At 45.7% G+C, this 17435-nt stretch overlaps 1 protein-coding gene across 61 annotated transcripts in view, besides 6 other annotated features; it reads right to left on the bottom strand.

Moving 5' to 3' along the window:
• Nucleotides 1-6181, bottom strand: part of PLEKHA1 (pleckstrin homology domain containing A1) — a 67893-nt gene extending 61712 nt beyond the window's left edge. For 33 of the 61 annotated variants that reach the window (NR_165161.1, NR_165162.1, NR_165164.1 and 30 more), the window contains exon 1: nucleotides 6083-6181. The gene's annotated coding sequence lies outside the window, so the exon portion shown is untranslated. The other 28 variants (XM_011540018.2, XM_017016483.2, XM_017016487.2 and 25 more) reach the window with 7 other exon arrangements.
• Nucleotides 5574-5773: a silencer, noted in NCBI's record as "silent region_2893". NCBI's record gives its function as "represses an Ori minimal core promoter by ATAC-STARR-seq in GM12878 lymphoblastoid cells {active_cell/tissue: GM12878}" and the evidence as "EXISTENCE:reporter gene assay evidence [ECO:0000049][PMID:35858748]".
• Nucleotides 5784-5943: a silencer, noted in NCBI's record as "silent region_2892". NCBI's record gives its function as "represses an Ori minimal core promoter by ATAC-STARR-seq in GM12878 lymphoblastoid cells {active_cell/tissue: GM12878}" and the evidence as "EXISTENCE:reporter gene assay evidence [ECO:0000049][PMID:35858748]".
• Nucleotides 5964-6033: a silencer, noted in NCBI's record as "silent region_2891". NCBI's record gives its function as "represses an Ori minimal core promoter by ATAC-STARR-seq in GM12878 lymphoblastoid cells {active_cell/tissue: GM12878}" and the evidence as "EXISTENCE:reporter gene assay evidence [ECO:0000049][PMID:35858748]".
• Nucleotides 6074-6183: a silencer, noted in NCBI's record as "silent region_2890". NCBI's record gives its function as "represses an Ori minimal core promoter by ATAC-STARR-seq in GM12878 lymphoblastoid cells {active_cell/tissue: GM12878}" and the evidence as "EXISTENCE:reporter gene assay evidence [ECO:0000049][PMID:35858748]".
• Nucleotides 6324-6473: a silencer, noted in NCBI's record as "silent region_2889". NCBI's record gives its function as "represses an Ori minimal core promoter by ATAC-STARR-seq in GM12878 lymphoblastoid cells {active_cell/tissue: GM12878}" and the evidence as "EXISTENCE:reporter gene assay evidence [ECO:0000049][PMID:35858748]".
• Nucleotides 11747-12271: an enhancer, noted in NCBI's record as "OCT4-NANOG-H3K4me1 hESC enhancer chr10:124128134-124128658 (GRCh37/hg19 assembly coordinates)". NCBI's record gives its function as "activates a minimal SCP1, AML or CMV promoter by ChIP-STARR-seq in primed H9 embryonic stem cells {active_cell/tissue: H9 hESC(primed)}" and the evidence as "EXISTENCE:reporter gene assay evidence [ECO:0000049][PMID:30033119]".

The following is a 17435-nucleotide window of genomic DNA, read 5'->3' as shown; positions in this document are numbered from 1 at the left end:
TCAAAACTCTTCAGTGCAATAGATGTCAACCTTGGCCACTTATCAGAATTACCTGGGAATTTTAAAAATTCCTGATGCCTACGTTAAAACACCACCTCCCCCACCACCGCCGACCAATTAAATCAGAAATTCTGGGATGGGATCCAGGCATCAGTACTTTTTTAAAGCTTCCCCAATCATTCTAATGTTCGGCCAAGGTTGACAACCTGTTTCAATGGGATCCCATCTCACTCAAAGTAAAAACCTAAAAACCAAAGCCCTCATAAAGACCACTAAGCCTCGTCTGCCCTGTTACCCCATCCCAATACCCACCTTACTCATTCATTTGGCCGCTGGACTCACCAGACAAGATTCCCACTCGGGGACTTGTAACTCAAAGTCACGTTCTCAGTGAACACTGCCTTTTAGATCTTATCTAAAATTGCAAATCCTCCAAACCGTTTTGCTACTTCCACCTTGGTTCCCCATGTTATTCTTCTCCTTAGCATTTATTGATTATCTAATGAATGATACAGTTTACTTATTTACCTGATTCTTGTCTGTTTCCCCACACTGTAATGTAGGCTCCATGACAGCAGGGATTTGTTATTTACTGTTGTTTCTCCAATGCCTAACACAGTGGCTGTCACATGCAAGACCCTCAGTAACTATTTGTTGAACGACGGATGAAGTAACCCATAATTACTGCATCAAAGATTAACGTTAAGTTTCCAGATAGAAAGTTGTTTCTTCCTCATCAGACAAGAATCATTTACCAGATTTAACTGATTTATTTAAATAATGGAAGGAAAAAGTTTCAAATACTGTATTTCCACTTAAATTTATATTTTTAGTGAAACTTACATGAGGCAAAACCAGACACAATTATATTATTAACATGCCTCCCAACCCAAATTTCTCCTTCAGCTTTACTCATACTCTAAGGTATAGTTAGATCTTACAAATCAGTCATAAATTAACATAATTACAGTTAACACCTCATCAGTCAGGAACCAGGAAGCCAAAAAATAAGGCAAAACACAGAAACAGCCTGAGTGATATAAGAAAAAGCAAAGAAAAATTAAATTCTGTACAGTGAGACCTCAACAGGCCCACAAGACTTCACTATTATTTGTTAAAACATGTCGAGTGGGACTAGTCCTGTTGCCCCACAATCACTGACAAACACAAAGCTGAGGATATATAGACATAGAGGATCAAATATCTGTAGAGTCAGGCATGGCTCTGGCACCCTAATCAGCACCATCCTTCCACTCTGCAAGAGCAGTTGACAGAAGAGAGGGAAAGAACTGTAAGTCTTCAGGGAGAACGCAGGGAAAAGAAGGAGGTCTTCACCAAAACAGTGGCAGGGGCCTCTAACAGAAATCACTCATGAAGATCAGAGGAGCCTAGAACAGACTTGCATCCCATTCTCCAGTTCCACATCTGCTTATGCAGCAGACTGAGTGACTGACCCCATGTGTCTACTTGAAAAGGGGGACAAAGAGAATTGATGAGAAATGGCAGGGCACAGAAAGAAGGCAGACTTAAGTAGTCTGTATGCCACTATTCGACATCACAAGGAAGTGAGTTTCCAGTGGGTTGAATAGAAACCACAGCGTACCTGGATTGAAGTTGTTTTGCCATTATCAAAATATCTCGCTGCAGAGAGAAAAGATCTCCACCCCGACTCACACACATTCACGTAACCAGTGGGTAAACTGACAGGATGGGAGCAAGCAGATGGGTGTGTAGGTTGGAAAAGGTTTAGCTACAGAAAATTTCATACCCAGAAACTGTGCAGCAGGAGTCTCCCTGCAAGATCTCACCAAAAATGCCAGTTTGGTTGCCTATTAGTAGACTGCAATGGCCTGCCACTGTTAATCAAGAGAGGACTCTAATAGCACCAGATAACAAACACTTGTCTTTTTCTACTTCTCTTCTTGACACATTTGTATCCAAATAGATCCCTTAAGAGGGAAAGGAAAGAAGTATCCCAGGAGCTTACCACAAGCCGTCCATACCCCAAGTGCTTCAGTAAGTAAGTGGCCTGACCACAGGGTAAGGAAGGGAAAAAAAACCTTTAAATTGAATATATATGAGATTGAATGTTCAAACTGGAATAGACTGCAATTTTTTGTTTTTGTTTTTCTGTTTTTTTTTTTTTTTTGGAGACAGGGTCTCACTCTCCTGTCACCCAGGCTGGAGTGCCACAGCACAGTCTCTGTTCACTGGAACCTCTGCCTCCCAGGCTCAAGGGATCCTCCTACAACAGCCTCCCAACTAGCTGGGACTACAGGCACATGCCACCACGCCCGGCTGATTTTTCTATTTTCTGTAGAGACAAGGTTTCGTCATGTTGCCCAGGCTGGTCTCAAACTCCTGGGCTCAAGCTATCCTCCCACCTCGGCTTTCTGAAGTGCTGGGATTACAGGCATGAGCCACTGAGCCCAGCCTAGAGCTTTTTGATAACTGTAAATGACAGAAAAGCTATCATTTACCCATGATGTTATGGGGGGTGGGGGACAGGGGGGTGGGAAAGAGCCTACAAAATACAGTTAAAGGCAGTGAATAGTGAAAATTAAAACTCATTAAAACTCTTGTGTTTGTTCTCAGTAAGCTTGGACTGCTGAATAACCTGATGACATATGCAATAGCATTCTCATCCTTAATAATGGGAGGGAACACCTGACATGGAAATTCTCAGGAGGGATTTACTGTACCGGGTAAGATGCTACATTAGAAGCCCTCTGACATCACTTCCAATTCTAGTGCCTGTGATCGTCTTTTCCTTCAAGAGGTTAAATTCAATCCAGAATCTAGAGTTCAATGGTTAAACCATAAAAGGCTAGGCTGCCTAAAGGGCTAAAAACCACAACTTTCTGGAGAATAAAGCTATCAGACTGACAAGCCTGGTAAGAGTTCCATGTAGGAAACAATATTTTGCTCTAAAACTTATTTAACTTAAAAAAATCTTAAATGACTAATTTTCTTTTATATCCAACAGAAATTCCAGTTCAAAGAAAGCTTATAAAATCCCAAAAACCCTATCTTCCTGAATATTATCAATTCAACTAATTAAAAGGCTTACTAAAATAAATAGCAAACATATGTTTGCTTAAGCATCTTCTAGGAATCACAAACTCACATATCCCTTATTAGACAGTACCCACAAGAAAAAAAGTTACTTAGGGTCAAATGGTTTAATATTGCTCAGTAAGTGTAAGAGAGTTCTAGTGCTATAACAAATAACAGGATGCTTTATGTTTACATAAAAACATCCCATATTTTTATGTTTCTAAAAATAATTAAGCATTATAAACAATCATCTAAAGCTACCAAGTTTTCTGCCCTTTCTGAAAGCATTCCTTTCAGACACCATGTCAATAAATTCTTAAATGCTGGATGTGTACTCACAAATGGTCAAAAAACCTAAAACCAAATCTTAATATTTAACTCCTATTGAAGTCATTTTATTGTATCATTGCAGATCTAAAACAAGATTTTTTAATCTTGAAATTTAAATTTTAATATTAACAAAAGTAAACTGCTCCAGCATGAGAAAAGTAATTATTTGCATATTACCTCAGCTCACAGTTGGAATCAAATAGGAAATACTTTAAGGCAGTTAGTTATATCAACCCAAAATTTTCTAATAAAAGCAATGTTACTATTGTCACAAATAATTACTACACTATATTCAGAAAACTATCTTCCCCATTCTCAAATAAGTTATTTAAACAATAATGACTTGACATCAAGCAATATGTCAATGTCAAAGTATGACTTAAATTATATTAATAAACTATTTATTAGATTTCATTCTGGGTTACAAATTATCACACAATTAAAATAACTTCGGGATTTGCAGCATGACTAATAATAATAAAGAACTTCCAGGCTTAAGTCAAAAAGCCACTTTGTTTAAATCTCCATTAAATGTTTTTTGTGGGGGGAAGTCCCCATAAAAATGTAAAATGTTTCCACCTTTCCCAAGTATCTTCCTAGGAGTGGTCAATATTGTCATATCCTATATGTTAGCAAACGATACTTGAATGACTTTTAAAGAAAAGAATCCAATGCTATTCTTAACATCCTTAAACACTTCTAAAAAGGTCCTTCCGGCTTATGAACTCATGGCAGTTTCCTCACAATTGTATACTTATCCTGTTTCACTGTCTCTCCTAGTCTATGACAAACTCAATTTTACACACCATCTTTCCTATTTTGTTACACTGCTAAAACTGGGGAGAAAAAAAGATACAAACCTGCTACTTTCCCCCCTCCCAAAGCGACAATGAAAATACTAATTAACAAGATAAAGATTGGAAGCTCTGCGCGCGCCCGCGCGGTGTGTATACACATATATTTATATTATATATATATATATATATATATATATATATATCTTCTTAATGTCACTAAATTCACAGCCATATATCTTGATACAGGTATACGCTACAAGAGAAAACTGTCAGTAGATACAGTGTAAGGTTTACGGCAGTATAAAATAAATTAACTACTTTATTAATTCAAATTCTGTCAAACTTAAATACTCTTTTTTAAATGTATCAGTACTCTAAAATGCAATTTTCCTTGGGAAAATTGGCCAAGATAAAAAATACTTTAACTCCACTAGGGGAAATATTTCTTTTGCCACAAGTGTGTCAACAGGAAAAATTAAGAGCATGAAAAGTAAACAGGTATTTTGATCAGAATAAATCTTATTATTTTAATATAACGGGTCTTCAAGTTCTTCAGATTGTGAAGAAAAACACAGTTTCACAAAACAATCACATAACTCTTACCCAAACTTTGCTGTAAATGGTTTCAGTGGCATCAAATTAACATAGAAAGTATGCAAGCTGAGTACTTGGGAAAATAAAGCAGATTGATCAGGAGTTCTAAGATGAAAGACAATGGTGTAAACCTCATAGTGCACTATTTGTTCCAGTCATTAAACACACAGGAAATAAGATTTTCTATTTAGAAAACTAACTCACAAGGGGCAATGACTTCATTAAAACAAAGAAAATCTTATTAAAACAACGATCAATTGTAAAATAAGAAAACCAGTACTGCAGAATTGGAAGGTGAAACAAACAGACGAGGAAAACGCAGAAACTGCCTGGATATTTATTTGTTCCTTGAACCTCTTCTTGTACTGCCCCCAGAGAGCAAAGGAGTTTCATTATTTATACGCCCAGACCACGGTAGATGCTCTGCGCGGGGGCACAGCCTCACCAGAATTCTACCAAAGGCGGTAAACACTATAAGCAACAGGACCGCTTTCATTATGACACACTTTCCCCTCTTTCCAGGAGGTCAATAGAAAGCATCTGAAACAAACCACAAACCACTCAAGACGGCCCCAAAGCTCTGCGGTTGGCAGCTGGCCTCGGCGTCGAAAGACCTGGGTCTGGTCGCCTCCCCGGTGCCACCTGCGTGACCTTGGGCAAGTCGCTTTCAACGCTGCCTCTGGCCACCTGCCCCGAAGGTGCGGAGGTAAATCGCGGACACCGCCCGACTTCAGGGCCCAGGGCGGAGCCGGCTTCGGCCTCGGCAAGTCCTGAAGCCAAAATGCATTAAACACCAGGAAAGGATGCCCGGGGACGCGCGCCCCGCGGGCACAGCCCTGGAGGGAGGCGCTCCGACCGGCGCCACCGGGAATCCCCGGGCAGCTGCGCGCACCGCGCCCCGAGCGGGATTTCTCGGGGGGCGGAGACGCCGAGGAGCTCGTCGGCCCCGCGACCGCCGCGGGCCTCCCGCCCTCCCCCGCCGGGCGCCGCTGAGGGCTGACGTCGGGAAAACAATCGGGGACCCACGGGAAGAAGACGCCGCCCCCTCCCGCTGCCCCAAGCCAGGGCAGGTGAGCCGGCCCGGCGGCCTCCAGGTGCTGTGGCGCGTGGCGCGGACGTGCGCAGAGGGGGCGCCGGCTCCGCACTCACCAGCACCCACCGCCCCTCTGCGGACGCCTCCCCGCTCGCCACAGCGGGAACCGCGCTCCAGCAGCCCGGCAGCCCCGCAGCCGCCGCCACCTCGCGCCTGGCCCCGTCCACCACCCCTGCTCCAGCGCGGCCGCGTTCTTCAAGCTAAACTTTACCGCGGCCTCGGCCCGGAGCACCCGCGCCGCCGCGGCCCCGGCTCCCACAGAGGCTCGGCTGCCCGGAGCGGCGTCCGCGACGGCCAGCCCGCGCACTGCGCACGCGTCCCCACGCTGCCTCAGCCCTCAGACGGCGGCTGAGATTCCGGAGCGGGCGCTCCCAGCCCGCAGAGACTACGAGTCCCGGCAGGCCCCGCGCGGGTCCCTGCGGCGTGGCGGGCCGAGTTTCTGGCGTCTTCCTGGTTCCAGCGGCGGCGGCCTCGGCGCGCCGGGGAGGCCTGCGCGCGGAGCTCTGGGCCGCCGCGCCGCGGTGCTTCCTGGTATTCGTAGTTTTTGACCACCACTGGGCTTGGCTCGGAGGTAGAACTCCGGGTTCTCTGATGTCATCGCCTAGAGCTGCGAGGAACAGGGATCTTTAAAAATAGGCTTCGTTAGTTTGCAGATAATTTGTTTGCAAGCTGTCCCATAATCGGTCCAAGTGTCACAAATTTACAGGCTGCGGTGTGACCTGGAGAAAAACGCTTTACAGCTCTGCGCGCCAATTTTTCGCTCTTCTCTCTCCCTGCAAATGTAGCTCCACTGCCTACTTACAATGGTGTTAATAGTACAGGAGGGTAAGAGAGACTTAAAGAAGGGTTAGTCGAAATTCTTTCAGCAACGGTGGAGCATAAATATGTATTCTGGTAAATATTCGTTGAGTGTTTAGCAATTTCTCGAGCACTTAACTGTGTGCCAAGTACGCGATAGGCAACCCGGCATTCATCTGAGAAAGAGACACTGTCACTGCCCTTATGGAGCCTGCAGCTTGGGGGAAACTCGTCCGCAAACTAGCAAAATCGTTCCAGATTTTAATAGAATGGCCAGACTGAGAAAGTTCAAGAGACAGTAGCGGTGGCGGGGACGGGGGGAGGCTCTTCAGAGAGAGTGGCAAGGCAAGTTCTCTGAGGATGTGATATCTGAGCTGAAACCTGAAGAATGAGAAATATTCAGACAGGCAAAGAACTGGGAAAGAATTACATGCCACGCCTTTCACAGCGCATGCCACTCTAGGCTCTTAATAAATATTTGTTCTTTTTGTGTGCTTCTTCCTTTCCTCTCCTTGCACAACCTTAGATCACATCCTATCCCCTTCAAACCCTTTAAAAAATCTTTATCAACATCTTTTAGAATATCCTTCCTATGTGAAAATGTACATGAAACAAATGTCCAGTGGTAAGACAAGCTGTACAGCTGCTAGGACAGAAGACACAACCCTGGTGACAGGCTGGAATCTATCTACTTTGCCACTTTCTTTATTTGCGAACTGGGTTAGAAGTCTGGGGGCTCAGCCTGGCCTCCTGACTTGTTTCTCTTCATGGGGCATCATACAGGATTTTGAGTTTGTCTTTATTAAAATCTTAGAGGAAGCCTACCTGTTATCTGAATCAGAGGTGTAGTGAAGAACAGCCCTAGATTTTCCTGTGTAGACTTACCTATGTGACTTTATGCAGAGAGTGACACTTTGCCCTTCTGACCCTCAGTGACCTCGACTGTAAATGAGTGTCATCCACCCTGCCTGCCTTGCAGAATGTTCTCAGAGTCTGATAAATTGATGGAGGTGAAAACATCTTGCAAACTGCATAGAACGGCTCTCTGACTGCCTCTTTGAGACTTAGCATTTTCAATTGCCTTTCATCCAACGTGATATTTTGGTTATCTTTTGAGAAACCTTAGCTATGCAGCCTTGCTGACATCTGTCCCTTTTGGGGTCCTCATCTGTATAATGGTTGAAAGGGTTTGGCCTCACTATAGTTTATAAAGTAGCCAGAGCAGATTGTTTCCTTTGGTCCACACAGTGGGTTTTTGTTGATTTAACTGAATGTGTGGTTAACATTTAAAAATAAAAATCTAGGTGTCACCTGTCTTATCCCTGTAGGCATTTGAGTTTGCCTTCCCTGGCTAGAAGGTCTGGAAGGAGTCTCTAGCTTGTCAGTGCTAGAATCCTAGAAGATTCCAGATGGGAAATTTGTTTATTTGAAATTCAAAGTCAAATTCACATCTTTTATTTGATCTGAAAATACTGGTCCTGAGAATAGAACACTTAGGCCAAGAGCCTCTCACCCTCTCCAGGCTGGACCCGCCGGATCTCTCTCCTAAATGTTGTTTGACATCATTGATGAGTGGTTTGAAATTGTTCCTTTGGCCAATGTGATGGCTCCTGCTTGTAATCCCAGCACTTTGGGAGGCCAAGGTGGGCGGATCACTTGAGGTCAGGAGTTTGAGACCAGCCTGGCCAACATGGTGAAACCCCCTCTACTTAGCCAGGCATGGTGGTGGGCACCTGTAGTCCCAGCTACTCGGGAGGCTGAGGCAGGAGAATCAACTGAACCCACGTGATGGAGGTTGCAGTGAGCTGAGATCGTGCCACTCTACTCCAGCCTGGGGGACAGAACGGGACTCAAGAAAAAAAAATTGCTCCTTTGTTCTTTTTGCATAACAAGTCCCCAAAACTGTTTATCATTGAGAGCCATATTTACATACAGTAAAGAAAGCCAGAAAAGTAACTCAGTTTGCCCAAGGACACACAACAAGATAATCCCAGGACTGCTTTGAGGTTGCAGTATAACCAGAACTTCATAGCTCCCGATCAGCCAATAAATACAGAGACAAAAAAAAAAAGCTCTCTGCTTTTCTTCCAGCCTCTTTTTTTTTGGATGCAGAGGTTTATTACATAACAGTGCTTTCAGTGCTATTTAAAAAAAAAATAGTACAGGGAAATTACAGTCTGGGAGCAAACCAAGAACACTCAGGACTCACTGAAGGCACTGAGGAATGCTGGAATATTCCATGGCTACTTTTCATCTGAAGAAAAAGGAGGAGTCTGAATTCAAGGATCTATAGTTTAGCTGTTTACTTTTTTTTTTTTTTCTGCCGGAAGGGACAGAGTCTCGCTCTGTCGCCCAGGCTGGAGTGTGGTGGCACAATCCCAGCTCACTGCAACCGCTGCCTCTGAATTCAAGTGATTCTCCTGCCTCAGCCTCCCAAGTAGCTGGGATTACAGGTGCCTGCCACCATGACAGGCTAATTTTTGTATTTTTAGTAGAGTCAGGGTTTCTCCATGTTGGTCAGGCTGATCTCGAACTCCTGACCTCAAGTGATCTACCCCCCTCCTCAGCCTCCCAAAGTTCTGGGATTACAGGTGTGAGCCACTGCCCCAGCCTGCAGTTTACCTTTAAAGTATCACTGTCATCATTATCATCATGCTTTGCACGTGTGAAGTACGTTGATGTTTCATTCAAAAATAGCTCTTGGGCCCCTTCCATATGCTTAGTGCTGGGCTCTGGGGCTTCCAGACAGACGTCAGCCCCTCTGACAACACAAAAAGCAGCGTACAGAGGCACGCAGAAAGCTCCTGAATGCTAGTCACCTCTCTAATATTTGATGTCTGCAGCATTTCCTGCATTATCTTTTTCCCCTTAGCAATGGTCACTTTTGTACATATTATATATGTGCATATATATTTTTTTTTCTGCATATCCCTCTAAACTGTAACCTCCACGTGGCCAGGGATTTTATGTTTTGTTCCTGCTTGTATCCTTAGTGCCTACAACAGAAGTATGTGTTGAATGATGAATGCCACAGTCCCCTTTATGGACAGAGCCAGCATCAGAAGCCAAGCAGAAGGAGTACCTCCAGAAGCAAACCTCTGTTCTAACCAGAAATCAGAACCAAGATAGAACAAGAATTAAACATGAACTGAACACTCTCTGAACCCGGCTTTGTTCTTTTTGTGTCCCCTCCAGAAACTGGGTAGCAGAGAGTTAAAAACGGCTTTTCCCTATTTTTTAGTGTAAAAATGGCACAAGAACTCCAGGCAGCGAGTCAGTGGAGTTGCTTCTGTGGGTGAAGAGTCGGAGCTGGCTTTCTGACCCTGCCTCACAACTGGCAATGACCAAGTGAGGGGAAGCATGATTCTCAGTAATCACCCCAAGCAGGCACAGATTAAGTGACCTTCCCAGATTACCAATCAGGTGACTGGAGTCTCCTTCTGGAGCTAATTCTTGCATCCCAGGGCTGGGGCAGAACAATCCTCCTTCAGGAAGGTGCCACGAAAGATTGTCCACATTTTATGCTTACCAAGGTGGAAGAATAGGATTTCTGAAAAAGTCAGCAACCAGCCCAAATTCCAGGCCCACACAGGAAAAAAAACAAAAAACAAAAAACAAAAAACTGGGCATCCGGGGAGATGCTTGCCTCCAAGACTTGTAGAGAGCAGAACTAGGTCTTTCCTGCCTTAGGATTATCAGACAAGGAAGGGAGCCCAACACTGAACATCTGGGTTGGACAGGATCTAAAGTTGCTGAAAGCCACTGGAGTTCTAAAGGTCCCCAGCAACCCTATGATCTCTGGGGGTCTGGTGGGTTCCAGCTGCATCTACACCCTAGTTAGGTCATACATTAATTACCCTGACCACATGTGGCAGGCCTGGGATGGTGGTAAACCCTAAAATTGCAGAGCACAGGATGCTTGCTGTCATCCAAACATACGGACTCTTGCTCCAATGTGGTGTGAAAACTTGAAAAACAAGATTTTCTGAATCAAGATGATCATCCAGGGCCACACTTGGGTTGCTAATTGCAGCACTGAAGTAGGGAGCATTCTAGAAGGTGAAGACTCCTTGCAAACAAAGCTGGGAGAGAGGATCTGGGAACAAGTCCATCTTGGGCTTCACAAGCTCCTTGGCCTGGGGGAATTGTACCCTCAGACCCCTTCCCCTTACCAGACAGGGCACAGTGGCTCACGCCTGTAATTCCAGCACTTTGAGAGCGAGATGCAGGCGGATCACAAGGTCAGGAGTTCAAGACCAGCCTGGCCAATATGATGAAACCCCATCTCTACTAAAAATATAAAAATTAGCTGGGTGTGGTGGCGGGCACCTGTAATCCCAGCTACTCAGGAGGCTGAAGCAAGAGAATCGTTTGAACCTGGGAGGCGGAGGTTGCAGTGAGCCGAGATCGCCTCACTGCAGCACTCCAGCCTGGGCAACAGAGTGAGACTTCGTCTCAAAAAAAAAAAAAAAAAAAAAAAAAAAAAAGGAAGAGAAGCACAGAAGTCACTGCTTCCACCAGGAGAGTCTGGATGTCATGGGCCCCAGCCCAGGAAAGGAAAGTAAGAAGCTGGGGCCCTGGAGTCCATCTGCCCTGACTAGCTGGGTGACCTCAAACATGTTACCTCATTTCTCTGGCAATAGTTCCCACTTCACAGCCCCATCATTAGTCCTAAATAAAATAATGCAACAAAGGTCTGGCAGGTATTAGTGGCTCCATCAGTGTCAGCATTTCTATGATTTAGTTCGGCCTGATTCCCTGAGCCCACCTGACCAAGGCGATAATACATTCAGAGTCTCTTACATGGGCAGTGGGTAGGTTCTAAAAGTACTTTGACTGCTGTGGTCCTTGTTCATATGAGGGTGACTGGGATGGGATTGTGGTGTAGGATCTCGTGGAATTTGGTGCAATGGGGGAACAGGGCCGTGTGGATATGGTGCTGGGGACGTAGCAGAGACCTGACTTGGAAGGGCTCAGGCCGCCAAGCTAAGGGGGCACTTGAATTTGTTTCCCCACAAATCTAAGACTTTTGAAAAGCACTCCCAATGATTCTAATGTGCAGTAGATGTTTGGTTGTGCACCTGACCCCCACCCTCTCCTGGCCCAAAAATAAATAAGTATAAATGAACTGACGTGGGAAGACTAGAGCAGGGCTGTGATGACATCATCATTTCCCATCTTGTCTGGCTCCTTCAGAAACATTTCACTTTCATCTAAAACCTCCAGCTTGCCCTCCTTCCCCTACAACCTACCTGCCCTTAGACTAACAGCAGGGGCAGCTTTAGAAATAGCGTGCCTTCCCTGACCCCCTGGCATGTAAGTACATCTTTGTTCCTGAATGGCATTTAATAACAGTACTTTATGGTGAAACAAAAGCTGTAATCAGAGCCCAACAATGGAAGCTGCAGTCAGCGCTGAACAATACTCAGAATTCCCATGGTGATCCCCCCCATCCGCAGCTGTGAGAACCAGAAGTCACAAGCACGAATTCCATTCACAATTATTTGCCCAGTCCCATTGCAAGTTATGCGAATCACGGCTTTCCTGACCCCTTGGCGTGGCTTTCGAGGGGCTGAGAAGGGATGCCAAGCCTGGTCCCCAGCCAAGGGCAGCCAGTGCAGGTGTGCACATGGGGCTGACTCTGAGAAGCCAGTGCGGCAGCACGGTGACAGAGCCAGACTGCTCCCACGCTGGAGACTCCAGCAGCCATCTCTGCACCAGCACTTCATGCAAAACTTCCTTCACATAAAAGAAAGCTTTCTACCTATTTCCTTATCTGAAACTGCAGTCTGCACATTCCAGGATAAGCCTAGCAGCAGACTTCTCCTGCACCAAGTCCTGGATCCTTGGGGAAAGAAGGTCTTTAAGAGGGACTGCTCTCATGGGTGTCACGCACATTAGAATATGCTTCACATTAGAACTACTGGGAGTGCTTTAAAAAAATTCTTAAGACCCTACCCCAGCCCAATCTGAATCTCTGGTCACAAGAAACTGGGATTACTATTATTTTTTCCTTCTTTTCTTTTTGCTTTGTTTTGAGGTATAACTTAAATATAGTAAAGCCTACAACTCTTAAGTATAAAGCTCAATAAACTATGTGTCCATCATCCAGGGCAAGATACATTTCAACACCCCAGAAGGCTTCCTCTAGCTCTGGAAGCCAGAGGTAACCACTATTCTGATTTCTAGCTACATAGATTAGTTCTGTCTGTTCTTGAACTTCATATAATTGTCATTACACAGTATGGATTATACTCTTTTGGATCTAACTTCTTTTGCTCAACATTGTGTCTATAAAATTTATCCTCGTCAATGTGTGTTGTATTGCTGTGTAATATTCTCTTTTGCACACAAAGCACAATTTGTCTATATTCCAGTTGACGGACATTTGAATTTCCAGTTTTGAGCTATTATGAATAAAGCTGCTATGAACATTTTTATGCAAGTCTTTGGTGGACAATTGTACTCTTTTCTCTTGGATATTGGGTGGAGTTGCTGGGTTATATAGTAAGAGTACATTTAGCTTTATAAGAAGCAGTGAAACTGTTTTCCAGATTGGTACACCAGTTTTACTCCCACCAGCAGTGTATGAGAGTTCCAGTTGCTCCAAATTCTCACCAGCATTTGATACTGCCAACCTTTTTATTTTAGCCTTTCTAGTAGATGTGTAATGGAATCTCACTGTGGCATCAGTAGTTTTAAAAGACCTTCAGATGATGCTAATGCAAAGCCAGGGCTGGGACCCAAGGATATTATCTGCCTCTGTTTACAGACAGGAAACTGAAGATAAGAGGAGAAAGAGTCAAAGTCAAACTCGGAGCTCCCCACTCCTGGTCCAGGAATCTTCCCATGATACCTCTCCCTGGATGCTTAGTATTTGTCTGCCTTCCTGTCAGAACAAGGACAGATCTGGGCCAGAAACTGGGCATGACTTTAGCATCTTAGCACCACTGAGAGGGAGCAGAAGGAATTGGCAAAGCCCCTCAGGCTGGCTCCAGGGAGAGCATGTAGGTGGTCTGAAGCACCACAGCCCAAAAGCAGAGAAACTCCAAGCTGCTGTCAGTACCTGGAGAAGCCCTGGAGACAGCAGTCAGCATCCTGAGGGTAGCACCTGGCAAAGCCAAGCCCCTTAGGAGTTCTCATCTCAGTTCTGCCAGTTCCTAGTCACCCATACAGAAGCCTGATCACCACCTTTGACTCCTTCCCGTCTTCCTTCCCCATATCCAGTGAGAGACCAAGTCCTGCCAATTCTGACTCCTAAACATCTTTTGAATCCATCAATCCTCTCTGTCTCACTTTTCCTAGGTCCTCCCATCTGTGCCTGGACTCCTCACCAGCCTCTCTCCAGAAAAATCATTTTCCCATACAAACCTGATAAAGCCATTATCCTGCTTAAAAGCCTTCAATGGCTCCCAATTGCCTCAGAATAAAATCCAAGCTCCTTGCCGCAACTCTCCCTGGGCCTCTAAGCTTTCAGACCCTTTGTTTCAGTCTAACCCAACTGCCTGGAGTTCCCCACACCCCAGCTATTCCAGGTTCCCTGCCTTAAAAAAGAAAACAGCTTTATTGAGATATACTTGATATGCAATAAACTGGTGGACATATAGAAAGAGTACAATTTGGTAAGATTTGACCTATAAATACACCTGTGAAAACATTGCCACAATCAAGACCATGAACAAGTCCAGGTGCGGTGGCTCACGCCTGTAATCCCAGCACTTTGGAGGCTGAGGCATGTGGATCACTTGAGGTCAGGAGTTCAAGACCAGCCTGGCCAACATGATGAAACCCCATCTCTACTAAAAATACAAAAATTAGCCAGACGTGGTGGTGCACGCTTGTAATCCCAGCTACTTGGGAAGCTGAAGCAGGAGGATCGCTTAAACCCAGGAGGTGGAAGTTGCAGTGAGCCAAGATTATGGCACTGCTCTCCAGCCTGGGTGACAGACAGAGCAAGACTCTGCCTCAAAAAAAAAAAAAAAGGCGATGAACACATCTGTCACCCCCAGAACTGCCCTCTGCCCCTTTATCATTCCCCCTGACTACCTTCTCCACCCCAACCACAACCACTGGTCTGCTTTCTGTTACTACAGTTTGCATGTTCTACAACTTTCTGTAAATGGACTCATACAGTATGTACTCTTTTATGTGTGGCTTCCTTGGCTCAGCCTGAGTATTTTGAGATTCCTCTGTGTTCCATGTATCAGTTCATTCTTCTCTGTTGCTGGATAGTGCTCCCTTGTGTGGATACACCACAGTTTGTTTCTCCATTCACCTGTTGGAGGATATTGGGTTGTTTCCTCTCCTGTGTCTTTTTTCACGTTGCTTCCTCTGCCCAGAGTGGGTTTTTCCTTCAGCCCCACCCCACCCCCTAACCTCCCACAAATAAAATCTGCCTACACCAGAACACAAACATTAACTCCAATCAAAACTCATTGACTCTGAGACATCTTTCTGAGCTTACAGAAGTGGCCCTCTCTCCTCTGCAACCCCACTGCTCCCCATTTTTAGATTATAGTGGTGTTTTCCCCTGGGGATCATGATTTCCTCAAGAGCAGGCACCATGTCTTAATTACCTCAATAGTGTCAGCCACTAGTACAGTGTCCAGGATGAGAGATGGGGCGATGGGGGCGGGGGTCATCAAGGGATAGTGGCATGGTGGATGAGCCTGGGGGCAAATCTGGCTTTCAGAAGGGAGGTTGGCAGAAACAAGGCAAGCCCCAGGCCTGGAAAGGGACTGGAGACCCCTATGGACAGTCTGACAGGAAATCCAGTGGAACAAACTCAGCTTGAATGTGATGTGCAGTTGCCCAGGGCTCACTCCTGGTAGCAGCTCCAGGTGACTTAATTCTAAGCCCCTAGGCTTCACATCAGATGCTGAGCCCCAGGCCTGGAAAGGGACTGGAGACCCCTATGGACAGTCTGACAGGAAATCCAGTGCAACAAACTCAGCTTGAATGTGATGTGCAGTTGCCCAGGGCTCACTCCTGGTAGCAGCTCCAGGTGACTTAATTCTAAGCCCCTAGGCTTCACATCAGATGCTGAGCCCCATATGGCCCCTGTGGAGATGGGCTTAAGAGCCTGGGAGAATGGAGCCCCTAGGTGGGGCATAAGTGAGCCCACCTACAAGGGACTGGCGGCTGGAGTCCTGGCATGGCCCTGAGCTCCATCGTGGGCACTGCTACATGGCCCTGATCTCTCCATTACTGCCCCCCTTCCACTGGGGAATGTGGAGCTGCCCAGAAAGCTGGTCAAAGGGGACCATTCTGGGATTCATTGTGGGATTCCTTCTCTGATTTCTCTTGTCCTTTCTCTTGTCAATTAAATAAGCCCATCAGTATAGTTCTCAATCCAGTATGGCAACCCAGCAGCACCACTCAGAAAGCCTAATGTCCTGGTTCAATAGTTCTCCATCCATTTAGGCTTTTTGTCCTGAAGATATGATTGGCACATTGTTTAGGAAAACTGCTCTAAAAATATGAAAATGATTGATCTTTTGCAAAGACCTAAATGATCACATCTCTGCGATCTAAGCTCTTTGGCCCATGATGCTGTTGCAAAGGGTGCTGTTGGTGCCGGACAAACCCGAGTTCAAATCGACTGCTTGCTGGCTTGTGGAACTTTGAGCCACCGGCTAAAGGGTTCTGAGCTTCGGTTTCCTCCTTGGGCAAATGATCCCTCTGCTGCATAGAAGTTGTGAAGATGGGACTTAGAACACAATAAGTGCTCAGTAAGTGGCTTTTATTATGGTGTCTATTGGGCCATTAGAGGAGTTACACACCCACGCCTGCCCAGGCCTGTTTCTGGGTTCAGCATCTTTACTTCCTAACGACAAGTGAGCTTTTCTCTGGAAGCTCTCCTGGTTATCCTGAAATGCCCTTCTCTTAATTCTGGGGCCCACATGCTGCCTGCCAGACTGTTTGTTTTGGATGGAAGAGGCCAGCCAGGGAGTGGCGGGCCTGCCCATACGGTTCCTTGAAACAAAAGTTGCTCCCTGAGTCACTGCTGGGAGAAGCCACTGCATCCAGGCACCTACACAGACATGTTAGAGGTAGGATGCCCTGTGGGCAGGGCTGCTGGGGGTCGGCCAGGTGCACAGACAGAGGGACAGGGACAGAGGGCCCTGTAAACCAGGCAAAGGGTGTGGGTTTTATCCTGAAGAAATGGAGAGGGGATATTGAAGAGTTTTAGATAAGAGAGAGACACAGTCAGATTTGTGGATTACTTAAGTCCCCTGGACTCTTTGAGCAGTCTTTCTGGAAGGTGAGGCCCCACCTACATTCCATCTTCCTTTGCCCAACACAGGTGTCCTGCTGTAGCCAAACCCCTAAACAGACTCTACACCTCTGCCTCATTTGGAGTGCTCTCCACCTGGCAACATTCCCTAGTCCTTCAAGCCTGGCTTGGCTCTCTCTCCTTTATAAATCCTCCCCTGCCCCCAGCACATGATCATCACCCCCTCCCGAGAACCCAGGGTTCTTTCCCATATACCCAGTAAACAGAGCCACTCAGAACTTGCTACTCCATGTGGCTAATTCTTGGAGCACACAATGCTGTGGAAAGAACAAAACCTTTGCATTCAGAAGACCTGAGTTCAAGTTCTAATTTTGTCCTTAGCCACCGTGTGGCCTCCAGCATCTCACAACCTCCCTGAGCCACGCTCTCCTCATTTGCACAGTAGGGCAATATGATGCATCTCCCAGGATTGTGGTAAGTATCACAGGAATACCAAAGCACTTTGTAGATAGTGATGATAAACAGAAAC

Source organism: Homo sapiens, chromosome 10 (assembly GCF_000001405.40).
Source record: "Homo sapiens chromosome 10, GRCh38.p14 Primary Assembly".
Lineage (NCBI taxonomy): Eukaryota > Metazoa > Chordata > Mammalia > Primates > Hominidae > Homo > Homo sapiens.
This window is presented reverse-complemented; position numbering and strand designations above follow the sequence as displayed.